The following is an 18881-nucleotide window of genomic DNA, read 5'->3' as shown; positions in this document are numbered from 1 at the left end:
AAGCACCCAGCGCATTGGGTAGGGCAATCTACTTTACTGAGTCCACTGATTCAAATGCCAACCTGATACCATCCAGAAACACCCTCAGAGACACACCCAGCAATAATGTTTAACCTGGGCACCCCATGGTGCAGACAACTTGACACTTAAAATTGACTGTCACACTGTTTTTAAAACATTCTAAACATAATAATTAAAATATCCTTGCAGTTACCCTGGATAGCATTTCAAAAATAATAGGTCAATTACTGAAGTGACATTTATATGACAGGCTTTCCACCACATCCCTGGATTAGTTTAAATCAGAAAATTACAGTTTTTAATCCTATCTGAGGAAAATACATATAGCTATAACCTCAGTATTTTCCATAGGTCAGTTTGGTATCGCTTAATAATTTGGGTCTATATAAATAAATTATTATGAAAATAGATGTGACTATATGGCATATCATTGATAGTTTTTATTATCATTATTGCTGGAAAGAATCTAATAATAAAGTGACAATTTGCTCTCACATATAAAAGTTTCCAAAGTTCATTTCCTACCTAACCACCTATTGCATTAAGCACTGCCTTGACGCTAAAGTTGAACAAAACAGCCCCTTATTAATCAGGTAGAATTCAGGTAGATGTTTTTTTCCCTCCCTAAGACTTGCCTGGCAAAAATTTTCCTATCACGGTAACATTCTTTGTAGCTATAACTAGTTAAGAATATTACCACATATCCAAGCAGGGCTGAGGGGCAGAGCTGCCACTCAGGTGGGCCTGGAGAACGGAGTAGACAGAGCATCCAGCCAAAGAGGATTCTCAAACCTCCAAATCTAATGGAATTTGCTCTGCCAGGTTTCAGACTTGCCTAGGACCCATAACCTCATTTTTCCATCTGATTTCACCCTTTCAGAGTGGAAATGTCTACCCTATGCCTGTCCTACTGTTGTATTTCGGAAGCAGATAACTTGTCTAGTTTCACAGGTTCACAGCTGCAGAGGATTTTTTTCCTGGGTGAGTCATTCTCCATATCTCATCCATAATTGATTAAGATGATATCTGGATGATATTTGGGACTTAGAGTTGATGCCAGAATGGTTTAAAACTTTGGGAGATGTTGGGATAAGGTGAATCTATTTTTCATGTGAAGAGGGCACGACTTTTAGAGGGCCAGTGTGAGAGCTCTATGAGTTAAATTACATCTCCTAAAATTCATATGTTGAAGTTCTAACCCCAAGTACTTGAGAATGAGACCTTATTTACAGATAGGGTCTTTACAGAGATTATCAAGTTCAAATGAGGTCAGTAAAGTGGGCCCTAATCCAGTATTACTGGGGTTCTTAGGAAAAGGTGAAATTTAGACACACAGACACAGATAGAGGAAAGACAATGTGAAGAGACATAGAAAGAGGCCACTATCTAAAACTCAAAAAGAAAGACCTGGAAGAGATTCTTTCCCCAACAGTCCTCAGGAGGAGCCACCTCTCAATATCTTCATTCTGGACTTCCAGCCTCCAGAACTGTGAGACAATAGATTTTTGTGGTTTAAGCCACTCCTAAACCTGTAGCGCCTTATTACGGCAGTCCTAGAAAACTAATACCACACCATTTAATATTAACACAGAGTATTTTACAGAATTAGAAAAAATTTTTCTAAAATTCATTTGGAACCAAAAAAGAGTCCAAATAACCAAAGTATCCTAAACAAAAATAACAAAACTGGAGCTATCACATTGCCTGACTTCAAACTACACTCTAAGGCTACAGCAGCCAAAACAGCATGGCACTGGTTTTAAAAAACAACAACAACAACAAAAAAAAAACATAGACAAGTTGAATGGAATAGAAAACCTAGAATTAAACCTGCACACCTACAAATATCTGATCTTTGACAAAATCAACAAAAATAAGCAATGAGGAAATGACTCCCTATTCAATAAATGGTACTGGGATAGTTGGCTAGCCATATGCAGAAGAAACTGGACCCTACCTCTCACCACATATAAAAATTAACTCAAGATGGGATTTAAATGTAACACTTCCAACTACAAAAATCCTAGAAGAAAACCTAGGAAATACCCTTCTCAATATAGGCTTTGGCAAAGAATTTATGACTAAGTTCCCAAAAACAATTGCAACAAAAAAAAAATTGACAAGTAGAACCTAATTAAAGAGCTTCTACACAGCAAAAGAACTTACCAATGGAGTAAACAGAAAGCCAAAAGAATGGGAGAAAATATCTGCAAACTATGCATCGCATCTGACACGGTTTTTTTTGTTTGTTTGTTTGTTTGTTTGTTTTTTGACAGAGTCTTGCTCTATCAGCCAGGCTGGAGTGCAGTGGCACAATCTTGGCTCACTGCAACCTCTGTCTCCTGGGCTCAAGCAATTCTCCTGCCTCAGCCTACCAAGTAGCTGGGATTACAGGAACGTTCCACCACACCCCGCTAATTTTTGTATTTTTAGTAGGACGGGGTTTCACCATGTTGGCCAGGATGGTCTCAAACTCCTGACCTCAGGTAATCTGCCCACCTTGTCCTCCCAAAGTGCTTGGATTACAGGCATGAGCCACCGTGCCTGGCCAACACAGTTCTAATATATAGAATCTACAAGGAACTTAAATCAACAGCAAAAAAAAGAAATCAAAGTTCAATGAAAAAATGGGCAAAGGATATGAAGAGACACTTCTCAAAAGAAGACGTGCATGCAGCCAATAAACATATGAAAAACGCTCCACATAACTAATCATCAACGATATCAAAGAAATGCAGATCAAAACCACAATGAGATACCATCTGACACCAGTCCAAATGGCAATTATTAAAAAGTCAAAAAATAACAGATGCTGGCAAAACCGCAGAGGAAAGAGAGCACTTATACACTGTCAGTGGGAGTGCAAACTCATTCAGCTACTGTGGAAAGCAGTTTGGAGATTTCTCAAAGTACTTAAAACAGAACTGCCATTCAACCCAGCAATACCACTACTGGGCATATACCCCAAGGAAAATAGTTTATCCTATCAGAAAGACACCTGCACTCATGTGTTCATTGCAGTGCTATTCACAATAGCAAAGACTTGGAATCGATCTAGGTGTCCATCAATGTGGTACATATACACCATGGAATACTATACAGCCACAAAAAAGAATGAAATTGTGTCCTTTGCAGCAACATGTATGCAGCTGGAGGCCATTATCCTAAGCAAACTGACACAGTAACAGAAAATCAAATATCACATGGTCTCACTTACAAGTGGAAGCTAAACATTGAGTACACATGAGTGTAAAGACGGGAACAACAGACACTGGGGACTACTAGACGGGGAGAGAGGGAGAAGGATGTGGGCTGAAGACCACCTGTTGGTTCTTCAAAGTGGTGGTTTTACTTTGTTTTACTATGCTCAATGCCTGAGTGACAGGATCATTGGGATCCCAAGCCTCAGCATCACACAATATACTCACGTAACAAACCTGCTCATGTACCCTTTAATCCATAATAAAAATTAACATAAAAACATGTTAATGTTTTTCCCAGTTTTACTGATATATAGTTGACAAATAAACGTTTTTTACATTTAAAGTGCATAACATGATGCTTTGGTATACAAAGTCATTGTGAAATAATTGCCACAATTAAACTAATTAACTTATTTATCACCTCACATAGTTTGTGTGTGTGTGTGTGGTGAGAATATTTAAGATCTTAGCAAATTTCAACTGTACAGTACAGTATTGTTAACTATAGGCACTATGTTATACATTAGATCTCTAGAACTTATTAAACCTGCATAACTGAAACTTTGTACCCTTTGACTAACATCTTCCAAAAACATATTAATGTTTAAATGATAACATTTATATGATATTTGAACATCTATTCAATAGCTACTGGTCATATTTTGTAGGTATGATAATAACATACTGTATGATGCAAAATCATATAGTAAAATATTGCTGAAGACATTAATGATCTCTTAGAAAACATATTTAATGAAGGTAGAATCATATTTCAATAGTCATGTATTTCCTACCCATATTCTGCACTTTTACTATTGATCAAAGGGGGAAACATCACAATGGAATGCTCTGAGAGGACATGCAAAATAAAAAAATAACTGAGAAGTAATTGTAATTTTATCTAACTGACAAATATACTAACAAGTCATTTTCAGAATTTATCTGAGCTTTCGACTTCAGTGCTAAAGTCATGATTATAATGTGGAATGGATCGTATTTTAAGAAAGACAAAAGCTGATCTAGTAAAATTACATAATTCTTCATCAGACAAAACCTGTAGACTAATAAATAGGACTATGCCTAAAAGCCAGACTTTTATTAACTCATTCAAATTGAATTAATGGAGACCCCAAATAATGTGCAAAGTAATGTTATCTTTAAGTCATTTTGAGATTAGATTCAACAAAAAGTTCTCAAAAAAACCAGTGCCAATTAAGTACTATCACTCTTCTTCATCATCATTTTTCTTCTAAAATTTGAAACTATTTAAAAGGAAATCTCTATTTAAATAGGCATTGTATTTATATATACTATAAATAGAACAAAGAATATATTGTACATTAGAAAAATACCCTATCTTTTAGCTTTGATTCTTGTTTTACATCTGTTCCTAGTGCTTTTCTTTGAAATAAAAGTTACTTCTTTTATATGTTGTATGATTTAAAGGAAGATGATCAATTATCATGTTTTAATTTAGTGCTGAATAACCCCTTTTCTTCTTCCAAGGTCTTATTTTCTGCCAATATTGAGAGTTTGAATCAGCTCTTTGTGATGGTCCAGAGCAAGATAGAGCCTTCTTCACCTACCTCGCACATGCTGCCCTCTTCTGAATGCCTTGCTGTCCATCGTTTTCTCTGAGTAGTGACAGCCTGAACAGGACTTTGAGAATCAGGGATCATGTAGCCAACAGCCTAAAGGATGGCTCTTTCTAGCATGAGAGAGCTCCGGACACCTGCTCTATTCTAGATGCTAGTTGATGTCTCAGAAGAACAAGCAAAACATTCATTTCCCTCTTCCCTCTTTTTTCACACCACTCAGTTCTCAAATGGCTCTGACGTTACCAATGGACTTGACTTTCTTTTTTATTTATTTATTTATTCATTTATTTATTTATATATTTTTTGCGATGGAGTCTCACTCTGTCGCCCAGGCTGGAGTGCAGTGGCACAATCTCGGCTCACTGCAAGCTCCGCCTCCGGGGTTCACGCCATTCTCCTGCCTCAGCCTCCCAAGTAGCTGGGACTACAGGCGCCCGCCACCACGCCCGGCTAATTTTTGTATTTTTAGTAGAGACGGGGTTTCACCATTTTAGCCAGGATGGTCTCGATCTCCTGACCTCGTGATCCACCTGCCTCAGCCTCTCAAAGTGCTGGGATTACAGGCATGAGCCACCGTGCCCAGCCTGTACCTTGACTTTCAACCACCTTTCTGAAGGCAAGCGAAATAGGATGACTAGTAGTTTGTTGGGAATGTTTTAAAAGTTAATGAATGCAGCATCACTTGTTGACATATGCTAACTGGTTATTCCCATTGGGTATGATGATCTTCTCCTTGCTCCACTGTATGGAGCCTGCCTTTACCAACATCCTATCATGTGTAGAGGCACAGAGAATAATGGTGCCCATCCCGGAGGGCATGGAGAACCTAGCCCAGATTTATGCAAAGAAAGACATGGCCCTGAGATGTAGTTATTGAGGTGGAGCTGCAGCTACTGCATTCTTCAGGTTGGGAGAGACTCACAGAAAATGCAGGCGCCCCACGGAGTCCATATGTAATGGAAGCAAAGGTGGCTTGGCCACTGACAGGCTGTGTGACTTAGTTTAGTTAACTTCTCTTGAAGCTGCAGTCCCCACAGGTTACAAATGGTTTGGATGCCATTTTAATGTTTTGTTTTCCATGTTTTGTTTTGTTTTGTTTTACTTGTAGTCTCCCTGGAGCATGTTCTTCTAAGAGCCCACTGGTGACCCAATTAGAGCAAAGCCTCTAGGCTTTACTGAAGTACATCAATGCTAAACATTTGCAGGCAACCTGATTCAAGGCATTCATGGTGTGACATGTGGGGTTTAAGATCTTTTGTTTCTCCAGCTGGTAGAGAAAAAATAACTTCCACAAAGAAAAGGTTAGATAGCTGGTCTTGGCTCCATTAGTTTGGGGGAATGCGGACTGCTGTTCTAGCGCTTCCTGGTTCATGAGGTGAGAACTTTTCCTGCTTGTTCCCAGTAACTTCTGAAAGCTGGATGTGACTTTTCTAAAAATGGACTCTCTCTCTGCCAAAGCACACTCAGGATATTTGGACACATAGTCTCCCTTCTATGACCTATTTAATGCCATTTATTCTATGTACCTCAGGGCAGAGCCAGTTATTTATGAAGTGTAGCATGACGGAAAGTTGTCCTGAAGTGATGGGGGTATTAAGAAGTCCTTCCCTACAGGACATACTTTTAGTTATAGTGGAATTAACTCGCAAGGTAAAATTTTTCTACTTAACTCCTGTAAGTCTCAGTTTCTTATCTATAATTATAATAATTACTTACATTTATTGAGTGCTTACTGTGTGCCAGGCACTATTCAAAGCATTTTATGTGTAGTAATCTGTTTAATTCTTATGATAGCTGTATGAAGTGGGATCTGTTACTATATATAAATTAGAAATATGACACATAACCAGCTTTCAGGGGTTTTTCACAATGATCCCATAATGTAGGGCTTATGAAAACCTTGGGCATCCTTCCCACTTAATGACAGACTTGATGCAGCTCAGGTTTAAAGAATAAATTTGGATTAATGAGAGAATGAAGTACAATATGGATAGTGAAATTACCCTGTGAAAAGAAAATTTGGGTAATATAAATATTTGGCTAGAAATCAAATTTGAATTTTCTAAACAGAGCTTCCACTGACCTCTAATGAACTGGCATATTCTGAGGAAAGACGAAAGAAGTCATCCTACGCTTGCACTGGTTTCTCCTGCCTGACACCTAAACTGCAAAGTATGTCGATCACTACTTCTGATTCCCTTTCATTTTTCTATTTATTCATTCATTCAATCAATCAATCAATCAACAAATACTTATTACATACCTGCTATGTGCCAGTCCTTGGCATAAGCACTAAGTATCAATGGTGAACATTACATACTCCCTGCTCTCCTGTAGCTTAAAGCCAAACAGGGAAGACAGACACTAATCGACCTGTACATGAATAGATAACTACAGAGATTTTGCAACATGGTTTGAAGAGCATTTGAAAAATGCTTCCTGAAGAAATGAGACTTAGACTGGGAGGTAGAAAAGAAACCAGAAAGGTGTGGCAACATTAACAATATGAGAGATAGTTATAGGAGTTTGCCAGATGGAAGTTACTAATGACCTTAGTGAAAGTTTTTTTGGTGTGTCTAAGGTGGAAACCAGACTGGGAGTGCCCTAAAGAGACAATGAGTGAGAGGTGAAGAAATGGAGACAGTAATGAAATAAAAAACTCTTTTAAGACATTTAATGGTGAAAAAGAGGTGAAGGGAATATATGCTGAAGAGGGAGGGTCAGAGGACAAAAATATAAACATAGTAGTTCAGCTTTCTGTTATCTCAGCTGCCCACATCCATCTCTACTTCCAGTGAAAATAGCATAGAAAAAAAGGTACTTGTCCCAAAGTGAGTGAGTGTGCTTGAAAAAGAACCAAAACTGCACTCCTATAGGAATATTCATTTGGTAACTTTAATATATGCAAACTAATAAAAGTTCTACCATTAAAAACCCATCCTTTGGACAAGGCAGCAGCTTTATAAAATATAATATAATGACTCATTTACAATGAAACTTTACCTGTGTTTCAATTAGAAATATATTTTTAAATAATATTTTTCCAGATACACTGAACTAATACTGTATCATTAGGCTAAACACATATTGATTCAAACTTATTATCTCAAAATTCTGTTATATGAACAAATCTGTGTGCTAATGGGGCACACTAACATTCAACTAAAGTGAATTGTATAGACCCATAGCATTTCACTGGATGATTAAATTAAATGTTTAGAGAGAAAATTAAATCTTTCAAGTCACTAGCAGATTATTCTTGCCCTGAAAATCAGCTGATGCCGTTGCTGCTGTGAATAAAACAGGCATTTGTAACACGGTAAAAAACTAAAAGAATAACATGGGGATAACATTTAAAGATTTCTATTCCCCCTTGAAGCCATTTCTATCAATATAGTTTGTAGACATCTATTTTTACTGTCATCAAAAAGTCTCTCACATTCACATTAATTTTATAAGGAAGCACGTTACTATTACTACTACTTTATTTATAGAAAAAGATTACTCTGCACTGTAACTAAATTGGCTATTTTAAAACTTAAAAAATTAATAGGATTCTGTTAAGTACCTAACACTACATCCATAGTCACCTTCATCTGAAAGCCATGAAGAGACTGATTCCAGGTGTTAAATGATTGAGCCACAGAAATTGATCCAAGTATTCTGCTACTGTTTCCTTTGACATCCTCCCCTCTGGCTACTGTCTACGAAGAAAGTAATTAGAAAACAGCATGTCTAATAAACTAACAGGCAAGTCATTGTTGATCAGATATGGAAACCACATTCTAAGAAAACGAAAGGAAGCCGAGCCGCACACCTGATTTTGTTATGTGAGACCCAATGACAAAAAAAAAAAAAAAAAAAAAAACCCAGATTACAAGCTGTTCAAGTAAGTTTGGGTGCTGATTTTCTTTTTCAAAACCTGAGCAGAAGAAAAACGTCAGGGTTGTTTGGAAGCACCGAATTACAAGATCCTGAATAAGCTGCTTCATCAGACAGACAGCTAGAAAATCCTATTTGCAAAATAGCTCCCACCAGCTTCTTTTATGTCCGAAGTGAGACTCAGTTTTTGGCTAGAAGATACACTCCTGTCAGCGGTAAGGAAGAGGAATGGTGTCTCTCCCCCTTTTCAGAAACACCAATCCCTGGATGAATGGACAACAGGAGCTCAATCTCACAGACGCAGGACTGACCCGAGTACAGTCACCGTCTCTCTCCCAACCCTGAGGGACAATCCCTTTGTGGCACCTGGGGAAGAGAGTATCCAGACAGCTGGTCGGAGTCTGGCAGCGCGGGCAGCAGTGCGGCGGCCACGGCTCCCGGCGAGAAGGTGTGTAAGGTAGGCTGGGTGAAGCGCCCAGGAGCGGAGGGGACAGCGCTGCACCCTCGCTAAGTCTCGCCGCGCTGGGCGCGTATCTGGGGTCCCCAGAAGCCAGCAGAGAGAGACTTGCGACCGGGGCTGAGCAGGAAGTGGGCAGAGCCCCTTCCCCCGCTGCCGTTACCTGCAGCAGCCGAAGCGCAGCCGCTGGCTCTTGCTGGATCCGCAAGTCGGCTACCGACTGGACAGCAGCTACTGCTTCCACTGCCTGCACCTGCCGCTCAGCAGATCCCTCTTTGCACAGGGCACCCCACCCCGGGAATCCCAACGCCAGGAGCCATCCGTGGCCATGGCGGGGGCTTCTCGGCACCCGACTGGGACGCCCCGGCAGCTCCTTGTGGCGCTCGCCTGCCTGCTCTTGAGTCGCCCCGCGCTGCAGGGACGGGCATCCTCACTTGGGACCGAGCCCGACCCGGCGCTTTACCTGCCCGCCCGGGGTGCGCTTGACGGCACTCGCCCCGACGGCCCCAGCGTGCTGATTGCCAACCCTGGACTCCGGGTGCCCCTGGGTCGTTCCCTTTGGCTCGACCCGCTCCGGGATCTGGTGATTGGAGTGCAGCCGGGGGACCGGTGCGAAGTCACGGTACTGGACGCCCTGCCGCGGCTCAAGGGCGCGCTCTCCCCGCGCCGCTTCCCCTGCACCTTCGGGCCCCGCCAAGTCCAGTACACTCACTTCGGCTCCCACAGCCCCGGACGCGCCCGGGTGCTGCTGCAGCTGCGCTACGACGCCCCGACTCACACTCTGGTGCTGCCCTTCACGCTGGCGGTGGACTTGGTCTTCTCCCAGCTGGAGCTGGTGACGCGTAACAGGCCTTTGGTAGTGGAGAAGCTGCGAAGCTGGAGCCGCGCCATAGACAGGAGAGTGCTGGACTTCGCCTCCCTGAAGTCTGGAGCCACGGCCACCCGCAGGTGCCGGCTTACCCCACTTCCTCACGAGGACGGCCCCCTGCCCAAGTACGGGCGCTTGGTGGACGCGGTGGGGGCCCCTCTCCCCAGGGGCAAGGGCGTAGACTGTGAGGCTTTCCTCCGTGCTGGGGTGCGCTATCAGCACACAGCCACCTCCTCGCCCAACCGTGACTACGTGCCCATGATGGTGGAGCTGCTGGGGCCTGAGGGCCAAGACGCTGGGTCCGCGGGTGTGCTGGTCCGCGAGCACTTCCAGCTGCTCGTGAGGATCCGCGGCGGAGCCGAGAACACACCGCCCAGGCCCAGCTTCATGGCCACGATGATGATGGAGGTGGATCCACTGGTGCTGACAGCCCTGACGCCTGACGCACTGGCCGCGGAGGACGTCGAGTCAGACCCTGGTGACCTGGTGTTCAACATTCTGAACGCCCCCACTCACCCACCAGGGCACCCGGGGCAACAGGGCTACGTGGTCAGCACCGACGACCCTCTAGGGCTTCCAGTCTCCTTCTTCACCCAGCAGGAGCTGAGGGAGCTGAAGATTGCCTATCAGCCCCCTGCAGAGAACTCCCATGGGGAGCGCCTCTTTCAGCTGGAGCTGGAGGTGGTGGACGGAGACGGCGCCGCCTCAGACCCCTTTGCCTTCATGGTGACAGTGAAATCCATGAATACTCTGGTCCCAGTGGCTAGCCATAACAGGGGACTTGTGCTTTTTGAAGGTCAGTCAAGGCCCTTGTCCAGCACCCACAGCATTCCTATCAGTGATAAAGATAACCTGGAAGAGGTGAAAATGGCTGCAGTCAGGGGCTTGAGACATGGGCAGCTGGTGGTGTTTGGGGCACCTGCTGGGTGCAAGTATTTCACACCAGCGGACCTGGCAGCAGGGCGAGTGGTGTATCAGCATGATGGCAGCAACACCTACAGTGACAATATCATCTTCCGGATGGAGGACGGGCACCACCAAGTGGACTTCCTCTTTCCCCTCACCATCCTACCTGTGGATGATGAACCACCAATGGTCAATACTAACACAGGACTCTCACTCACTGAAGGGCAGGTGGTCCAGATCTCTCCCTTTGTACTGAGTGCTACTGATATTGACTCTGAGGACTCAACCATCCACTTTGTGCTGGAGAACCAGCCCCTAAAAGGAAATGAGGAAGAGCCTCAGTGGGAGTTGGCCCCTGGTTCCTCCCACTCAGGCCACTACCTGGGGGACCTGTTGCTGCAGCAGGCTGAACTACCTCTCTCAACTGAAGATGAAGACTGGCACTACATGGAAAAGGAAGGGCTTTATGAGAAAGTGGTGACTGAGTGGCTACAGAGAGACATAATGGAAGGGAGACTCTTCTACCGCCATCTTGGACCACACAGCCCTCAATCTGTAATGGTCCAGCTGGCTTTCCATGTGCAGGATGACCATGACCCACCCAATCTCTCCAAACAGCACATTTTCACCATCAAGGTCCAACCAGTGGATATACTGAGTCCACAGCTGTATCCAGGAACTACACTAGAAATGACTGTACAAGAATACCAACTCACTCACTTCCAGAAGAATTTCCTCCGATACATTGACCAGGACTCTGATGACCAGAACCTATGGTACACCCTACTGACACTCCCGACTGACACAGATGGCAACCACCAAGTCCGGGCTGGAGAAATTGTGCTCACTGATTCACCAGACACACTCATCATGCACTTTACCCAAGCCCAGGTAAATCAGCATAAAGTTGCCTACCAGCCTCCACAGAAATTGGGTATTGCACCACGGGTTGTGCAGTTTACTTACCAGGTGGAAGATGCTGCAGGCAATAGCGTGCCAGGCACATTCACATTATTCCTGCAACCTGTGGACAACCAGCCCCCAGAAGTCACCAACAGAGGCTTTGCTATCTTAGAGGGAGGCAGCTTTAACCTCAGCAGTAATGAGCTGCATGTTACAGACCCAGACACAGACATTGACCAAATTGTCTTCATATTAGTCCGGGGTCCCCAACATGGACACTTGCAGTACTTTAAAAGATGTATGGTCCCAGGGGAATCTTTCATGCAAGCTGATGTTATTAACGGGAGTGTCTCTTACCAGCATGGCAGAGACCAGACGACTACCAGTGACACTTTCCATCTGGAAGTAAGTGATGGGGTGCACCATATACCCATCACCATCCCAATTTCTGTGCATCCCAATGTGGCTAACAGAAGTCCTAGGATCTCTCTCAGAAGTAGTTCATTATTGGATGTTTCTATAGACGTACTAGAGAATAAAGCCACTGAAATTACCATGGGTGTCATCCATGGCAAAAGGAAGGATGTAGGTGACTTGATGCTGTCTTTCATTGTAAAGGACAGCCCCAAACTGGGCACTATTCTGGTAAATGGTTTGCCCACAGAACGATTCACCCAAGAGGATCTCATCAATGGGAGAGTAGCCTATGCCCACACTGCAGGTGAAGTTGGTTTTCAAAAGCAGCACGATGCCTTCAGCCTCATCCTCTCCAAAGATTCTTACCAATGGGTAGTGGGGAATAGCATAATAGAGAAAGTACAGGTACAAGTAACTGTGCTGCCTGTGGACAATGTGGGACCCAAGGTCTTCGTCGGGGAGTCCTTCATTGTCTATGAAGGTGAGAAGAACTCCTTGACCTTACAACATCTCCATGTTGAAGATGTGGACACTCATCAAGATGAACTCCTCTGCACAGTGACTAGTCAGCCAGCCTCTGGCTACCTGGAAAAGATTGCATCAGCTCCTGGTTCAAAAATGTCCCAGTCTGGTAGCCCTATCAGTGCTTTCTCCCTCAGAGATATCCAAGTGAGGCATATCAATTATGTACAGAGTATTCACAAGGGAGTAGAGCCACAAGAGGACCAATTCACCTTTTATTGCTCTGATGGCATCAACTTCTCCCCAAATGTCTTCTTCCCTATAATCATCCTACCCACCAATGATGAGCAGCCTAAACTTTTTGCCCATGAGTTTAAGGTACTAGAGGGGATGAGCCTGGTCATAGACACCCAGCTGCTTAATGGAGCAGATGCTGACCTGCCACCAAATGAGCTCCACTTTCAACTCACAGCCCTCCCTCGGCATGGACGAATCATACAGCAGCTGGCTACAGGCAGCCAGCCCATCCACAGCTTCACCCTCAAGGAGATCCAGGAGGCCTCCACCATTGTGTATGAGCATGATGACTCAGAGACAAAAGAGGACAGTTTTGAGGTCTGGCTGAGTGACGGCAAGCACACAACCCACAGGAAGGTACCCATTGTAGTGACCCTAGTGGATGATGAAACTCCTCACCTGACTGTCAACAATGGGCTGAAGGTAGAGAAAGGACACTCTGAGATCATCACAAATCGGATCCTCAAGGCCACAGATCTTGACTCAGATGATAAAAGCCTCAGTTTTGTCCTCCATTCTGGGCCTCAACAAGGGCTTCTACAGAGGCTGAGAAAACCCAGAGGAGAAGTGAGGAACAATCTTACTCTGGGAATGAACTTTACCCAGGATGAGATTAACAGAGGCCTCATCTGCTATATCCACACAGGCCAAGAAGGGATTGTTGACATTATCAAGTTTGATGTTACTGATGGGGTTAACACTTTGACAGACCACTACTTCTATGTCACCATTGGCAACTTAGACAGCGTCTTCCCTGAGGTAATCAGCAAAAGGATCACCTTGATAGAAGGTGCCAGAGTGACCCTTACCAACAATCTGCTTACCAACAGTGACATCAACAGCTCTGATGAACATCACTTTAGCATTACACGGGCTCCAAGCCTGGGTCACTTAGAAAGTTCTGACTATGCTGGGGAACCCATTGCCTCTTTCACTCAACTTCAATTGGCTAGCAACAAAATATCCTATGTCCATACTTCAAATGATGAGAAAAAGATGGACAGCTTCGAATTTCAAGTGATCGGCGAACTCTACCCTGTGTTCAGAACCTTCAGGATCTTCATCACTGATGTGGATAATAAGAAACCTATCTTGACCATCCATAGACTAACACTACAGAAAGAGGATAGCCAACTGATCACTCTCCTTGAGTTGACAGTGGAAGACAGTGATACCCCAGATGACCTTATTCTCTTTACCATCACCCAGGTCCCCATGCATGGCAAGATTTTGTACAATGGTAGCCGTCCCGTGACCACTTTCACCAAGCAAGACCTGAACAAGAACCTGATTAGCTACAAGCATGACGGCAGTGAGACCACTGAAGATAGTTTCTCCTTGACTGTGACAGACGGCACTCACACTGATTTCTATGTCCTACCAGACACTGCCCTGGCGACACACAAACCTCAAGTAATGAGGGTCCAGATAAGATCATTAGACAATAGGCTTCCCCAGATTACTACCAACAGGGGTGCCCCAGCCTTGAAGCGCCTTCACACTGGACACATGGGCTTCCTGATTACCAGCAAGTCTCTGAAGGCAGAAGATCAGGACAGTCCCCACAGGCTTCTGAAGTATAAAGTGACCAGAGGACCAGAGCATGGCTTCATTATCAAAACTGGCCTTGGAAACCAGAGCACTCGAGTGTTTACACAAGGTTAGTATGTATTCTTCCCTGCCTATTCTGTCCCTCTCCTTCATTGGATCAGATCTCTCAGCTTTGTGTAAAATTGTCCTGATCTCAGCCATTTGCAGTAAGATTCTTGTTCTAATAAAATACAGTGAAGCGTGAAACTATTCCAAAAACAAAAAAGGCAACAAGTCCTTTTTCATCAATTTCATCAGAATGCCCATTTAACAGAAACTCACAGATATTTCATAAAGTTGTAGTTATACCTTAAAACTGCTAAACACGGGAGGACAGCTTCTGCTTCTGAAATATTAGAAGATAACATTATATTAATTCTGATAATATCAGATTGATTTTGAATTTTAAGAATGACATATAGAAATCATTTGTATAGTTATTAGTAAGTCCAGGTTTTTGAAGATGTTTGGTATCTAGATTTTGGATATAAATTCCTACATTGTTCATTTTTATTATACTATTCAAACGTAATTTCTACGTCTAATAAAAGCACAGAACTATGTTTGCCTGAGATTATTTTTTCTTTTATATTTGGTGTCACTACTAATCATGAGCTAGAGGCAGGTCCCTCTACTTTCCCAGGTGATGTGATACCCACTGGCTTTTAAATGCTCTTTATGTTGTCATAACTTTTTTAGATAGCTCTGTGCATGAAATTTCCCACACATGATACATGTAAACCTAGATGCAAACTCAGAGGAAAACTTACACATGTTTAAAAAATAGTTGGGTTACATTTTCAGAATTGCTTCTAAAGCAAATGAAATCATATGTGGTTCTCCATGGCACGTGTATACCTATGTAACAAACCTGCACGTTATGCACATGTATCCCAGAACTTAAAGTATAACAACAACAAAAAAAGAAAGAATGCAATCACAACAGTGATAACATTTTCAAATATTAAACTTATATAAACTTTAAACAATAAAATCATATGTGGTTCTATAAGAATTATTCTATAAACAAACACCCCTGAAAGCAAATTGTTTTTAAAATACTAATAATTACCAATATAAAAACATAATTATAGACCTTCATAACAAATTATTACCCAAGAGAATAGCCAATAGGAAAAAAAATCATGATTTTATTCTCATTTTCTTTTTTCTTAGGATGCAGTAATTATTCTTGTTTAAATTCATTTTGACAAGTAGTTCATGAGTATCCACAGTTATGTCAAGCTCTATACTTGTGCAGAAGATTCAAAACCAAATAGACCTGGCTCTCCATAGAGGGCCAGGATGTTGTAAAGCAGACGTAACTAGACTGCCCTCCTTGCTGGGCTTCAGCACCCAGAGAATATGCACATAGTAGCACTGTGACAAAGTCAGGGTTTCTTAACTTTTATTTTAGGTTTGGAGGTACATGTGAAGGTTTCTTACATACTTAAACTCATGTCATGCTGGTCTGTTGTACAGATTATTTCATCACCCCGGTATTTAAGCCCAGTACCCAGTCGTTATCTTTTCTGCTCTGCTCCTTCCTCCTACCCTCCACCCTCAAGAAAACACCACTGTTGATTGTTCCTTTCATTGTATTCATGAGTTCTTATCATTTAAGAACTCCCCTTAGAATTATTATAAATTCCCATTTATAAGTGAGAATATGCAGTATTTGGTTTCCTGTTCGTGAATTAGTTTGTGAAGGATAATAGCCTCCAGCTCTATCCATGTCCCTGAAAAAACAACAACGAGAAGAAGAACAACAAAAGACATGATCTAGTTTTTAATGGCTGCATAGGATTCCATGGTATATATGTAATATATTTTCTTTATCCAAGATGTCATTGATGGACATTTAGGTTGATTCAATGTCTTTGCTATCGTGAGTAGTGCTGCTATGAACATTTGCATGCATGTGTCTTTATGACAGAATGATTTATATTTTGAGGGTGTATACCCAGTAATGGGACTGCTGGGTTGAATGATAGTTCTGTTTTTAGCTCTCTGAGGAATCTCCACATTGCTTTCCACAATGGTGGAACTAATTTACACTCCTACCAACAATGTATAGTGTTCCTTTTTCTCTACAATCTCACCCAGCATCTGTTATTTTTTGGCTTTTTAATAATCACCAGTCTGACTGGGGTGAGATGGTACCTCATTGAGACCAAATTTCAAACTAAAGTTTTGTTTTTGACATTGTAGCTTTAAGAAGATTCATGTTCACTCAATCACTATTTTAAAATTTATTAATTGGAGTATTTCTATGCCTAATTAAAACTTTGAAGTTGTTAACATACTCATTTTCATTTGTGCCAATATGACTTTGTGTGATGGTTGCTTTTTTTTTAGCTGACATTGATGAGATGAAGATATCCTATGTCTTGAATGAGGGCAGCAACGCATCAAAGGACATCTTCTATTTCTCTGTTGAAGACAATGGTAAGTCATAATAAACCCTTCAAAAGGATTCATGGTTAACTAAAATCAACATAAAATTGGAAAAAAAATTAAATCATTTCTGGGCAAGTATAGGCATCATGTAAGCAAGTAATCACAATAAATAATGTCATAATACAAACAAATTAATTCTTTTTGTTTCACTTATGGTCCTGTGCCAAACGATTCTTGATAAATAACTTTTTAGGAAGAAAAAGCAATGAGGAATTTGATGAGTGAAATGTGAAGTATTTTATCTGATCTGGATCATGTGTGACATCATATAGGCAAGTGAATCTTACCTTCAAGAGATTCTGTGAATCTAGCTAGTGGTTTCTATCATTCTGAAACAAATTAGAAAATACATCTTCAGATTTTGTTGGGATTTTTATCTGCAGAACTGAATCTTATGGCTCCCTGATCTTAGACTTGAAATCTTTCTGGATGGGGTAGATATATATATATTTCTCCCGGCATAGAGGAAAGCTTACTTAAAAACTGCCTGTTTATGCTGCAGCTTGGTCTGTCTACTATTAACTTCAAAGTAGAATAATGGGCAGCATCTAGTTAACAGAAGCCACTTTCTTTACACACCTAGGGATTCAATGATTATGTGGTCAGAAGAAAAATCATTTTGCAGTATGACAGGATAATAGCAGAAATTATCTCTGTGTGCTGCTTGCCACTCAGTAACCTCTTTCAATACAAATCATTACTCATTCCCAGTAAGTAACCTGCATTTTCTGCCTAAATCATGTGTAATCAGTCAGGAACTGAATTTATTGTAAAGTAGTCCTATATGAGAGGCCATATGGTATACTGACTGGGTTTGAATCCCAACTTGTCCCGTGTGACCTTGAGTAAGTGACCTTGTCCTCTTCATTCATTCCCCCATGTATAAAGTGGTGGTCTTCATACCTATGTCAAAGAGTTGCTAAGAGGATTGACTAAGATCATAAATGTAAAGCACTTCATAAAAAGTAGGTGCTTTCACCTGATTCTTGTTCTTTTTAAAAAAAATTAATTTAAAGATAGGTGCCCATTAACTAGGTACTTTCTCCCCTTCTGATGAGACTAACTACAGTTGAAACTACTGATCCCTCCTATCCATTTTCTCCCTTAAAGTTTAAAATCAAATCTTCCTTCCCTTTCCCAAGTTCTCAAGAACCATAAGTTACTAAAAAGATGAATTTACACCTTTAAACAGGTTCATAAATAAATGTAAGACAAATATTTTATATTGAATATTTTCCTTTCTGTTTTTGAAAAGAATGTCACTCTAAAAAGATGCACCTCTGACTCTCACACTATGCTTTGTGGACAACGTTACAAACAAAAATCAGTCTGTGATGACACTGTAAGGTGAATATTATGTAGCTACCATGTTTTAACTTTTTTCTGTGAGCTAGCCAGTCCCTAAAGACATTATGACTTTTGATCCTCACTACAAAATAAAAAGTAAATGTTATGATGCCCATTTTAAAATGAAGACACCATGGTTGAATAACTTGCCTGAAGTCATACAAGTAATAGGCAAGTAAACTGGAATCAAATCCAGGTCTTGCCAATTCCAAAGCTAGGGCTCTTAACTGCCAACGCAAATCTGTCATCTTACAGTTCTGGAGTTCAGAAATCCAAAATGGTCCTTACTGGAATAGAATCAAGGTTTTGACAAGGCTGCACTTTCTTTTTTTTTTAATTTTTCCATAAGTTTTTGGTGGTACAGGTGGTGTTTGGTTACATGAGTAAGTTCTTTGGTGGTGATTTGTGAGATTTTCATGTACCCATCACCCGAGCAGTATACACTCACTCTGCTTTGGGAAGCTGAAGCC

The 18881-nt window shown here is 41.8% G+C and overlaps 1 protein-coding gene across 1 annotated transcript in view, besides 1 other annotated feature; it reads left to right on the top strand.

The window, feature by feature from the left end:
* Positions 9466-10123: an enhancer, noted in NCBI's record as "H3K27ac-H3K4me1 hESC enhancer chr4:144621195-144621852 (GRCh37/hg19 assembly coordinates)". NCBI's record gives its function as "activates a minimal SCP1, AML or CMV promoter by ChIP-STARR-seq in naive H9 embryonic stem cells {active_cell/tissue: H9 hESC(naive)}" and the evidence as "EXISTENCE:reporter gene assay evidence [ECO:0000049][PMID:30033119]".
* Positions 9490-18881, top strand: part of FREM3 (FRAS1 related extracellular matrix 3) — a 123374-nt gene continuing 113982 nt past the window's right edge. The window contains exons 1-2 of the mRNA NM_001168235.2: positions 9490-14674; positions 16963-17052. Of these exons, the coding sequence (NP_001161707.1) occupies positions 9490-14674; positions 16963-17052 (5275 nt within the window). The remainder of the gene's footprint in view (positions 14675-16962; positions 17053-18881) is intronic.

This window comes from Homo sapiens, chromosome 4 (assembly GCF_000001405.40).
Source record: "Homo sapiens chromosome 4, GRCh38.p14 Primary Assembly".
In the NCBI taxonomy this organism is placed as follows: Eukaryota; Metazoa; Chordata; class Mammalia; order Primates; family Hominidae; genus Homo; species Homo sapiens.
The sequence above is the reverse complement of the archived record's forward strand: the minus strand, read 5'-3'. Positions and strand labels throughout refer to the sequence as shown.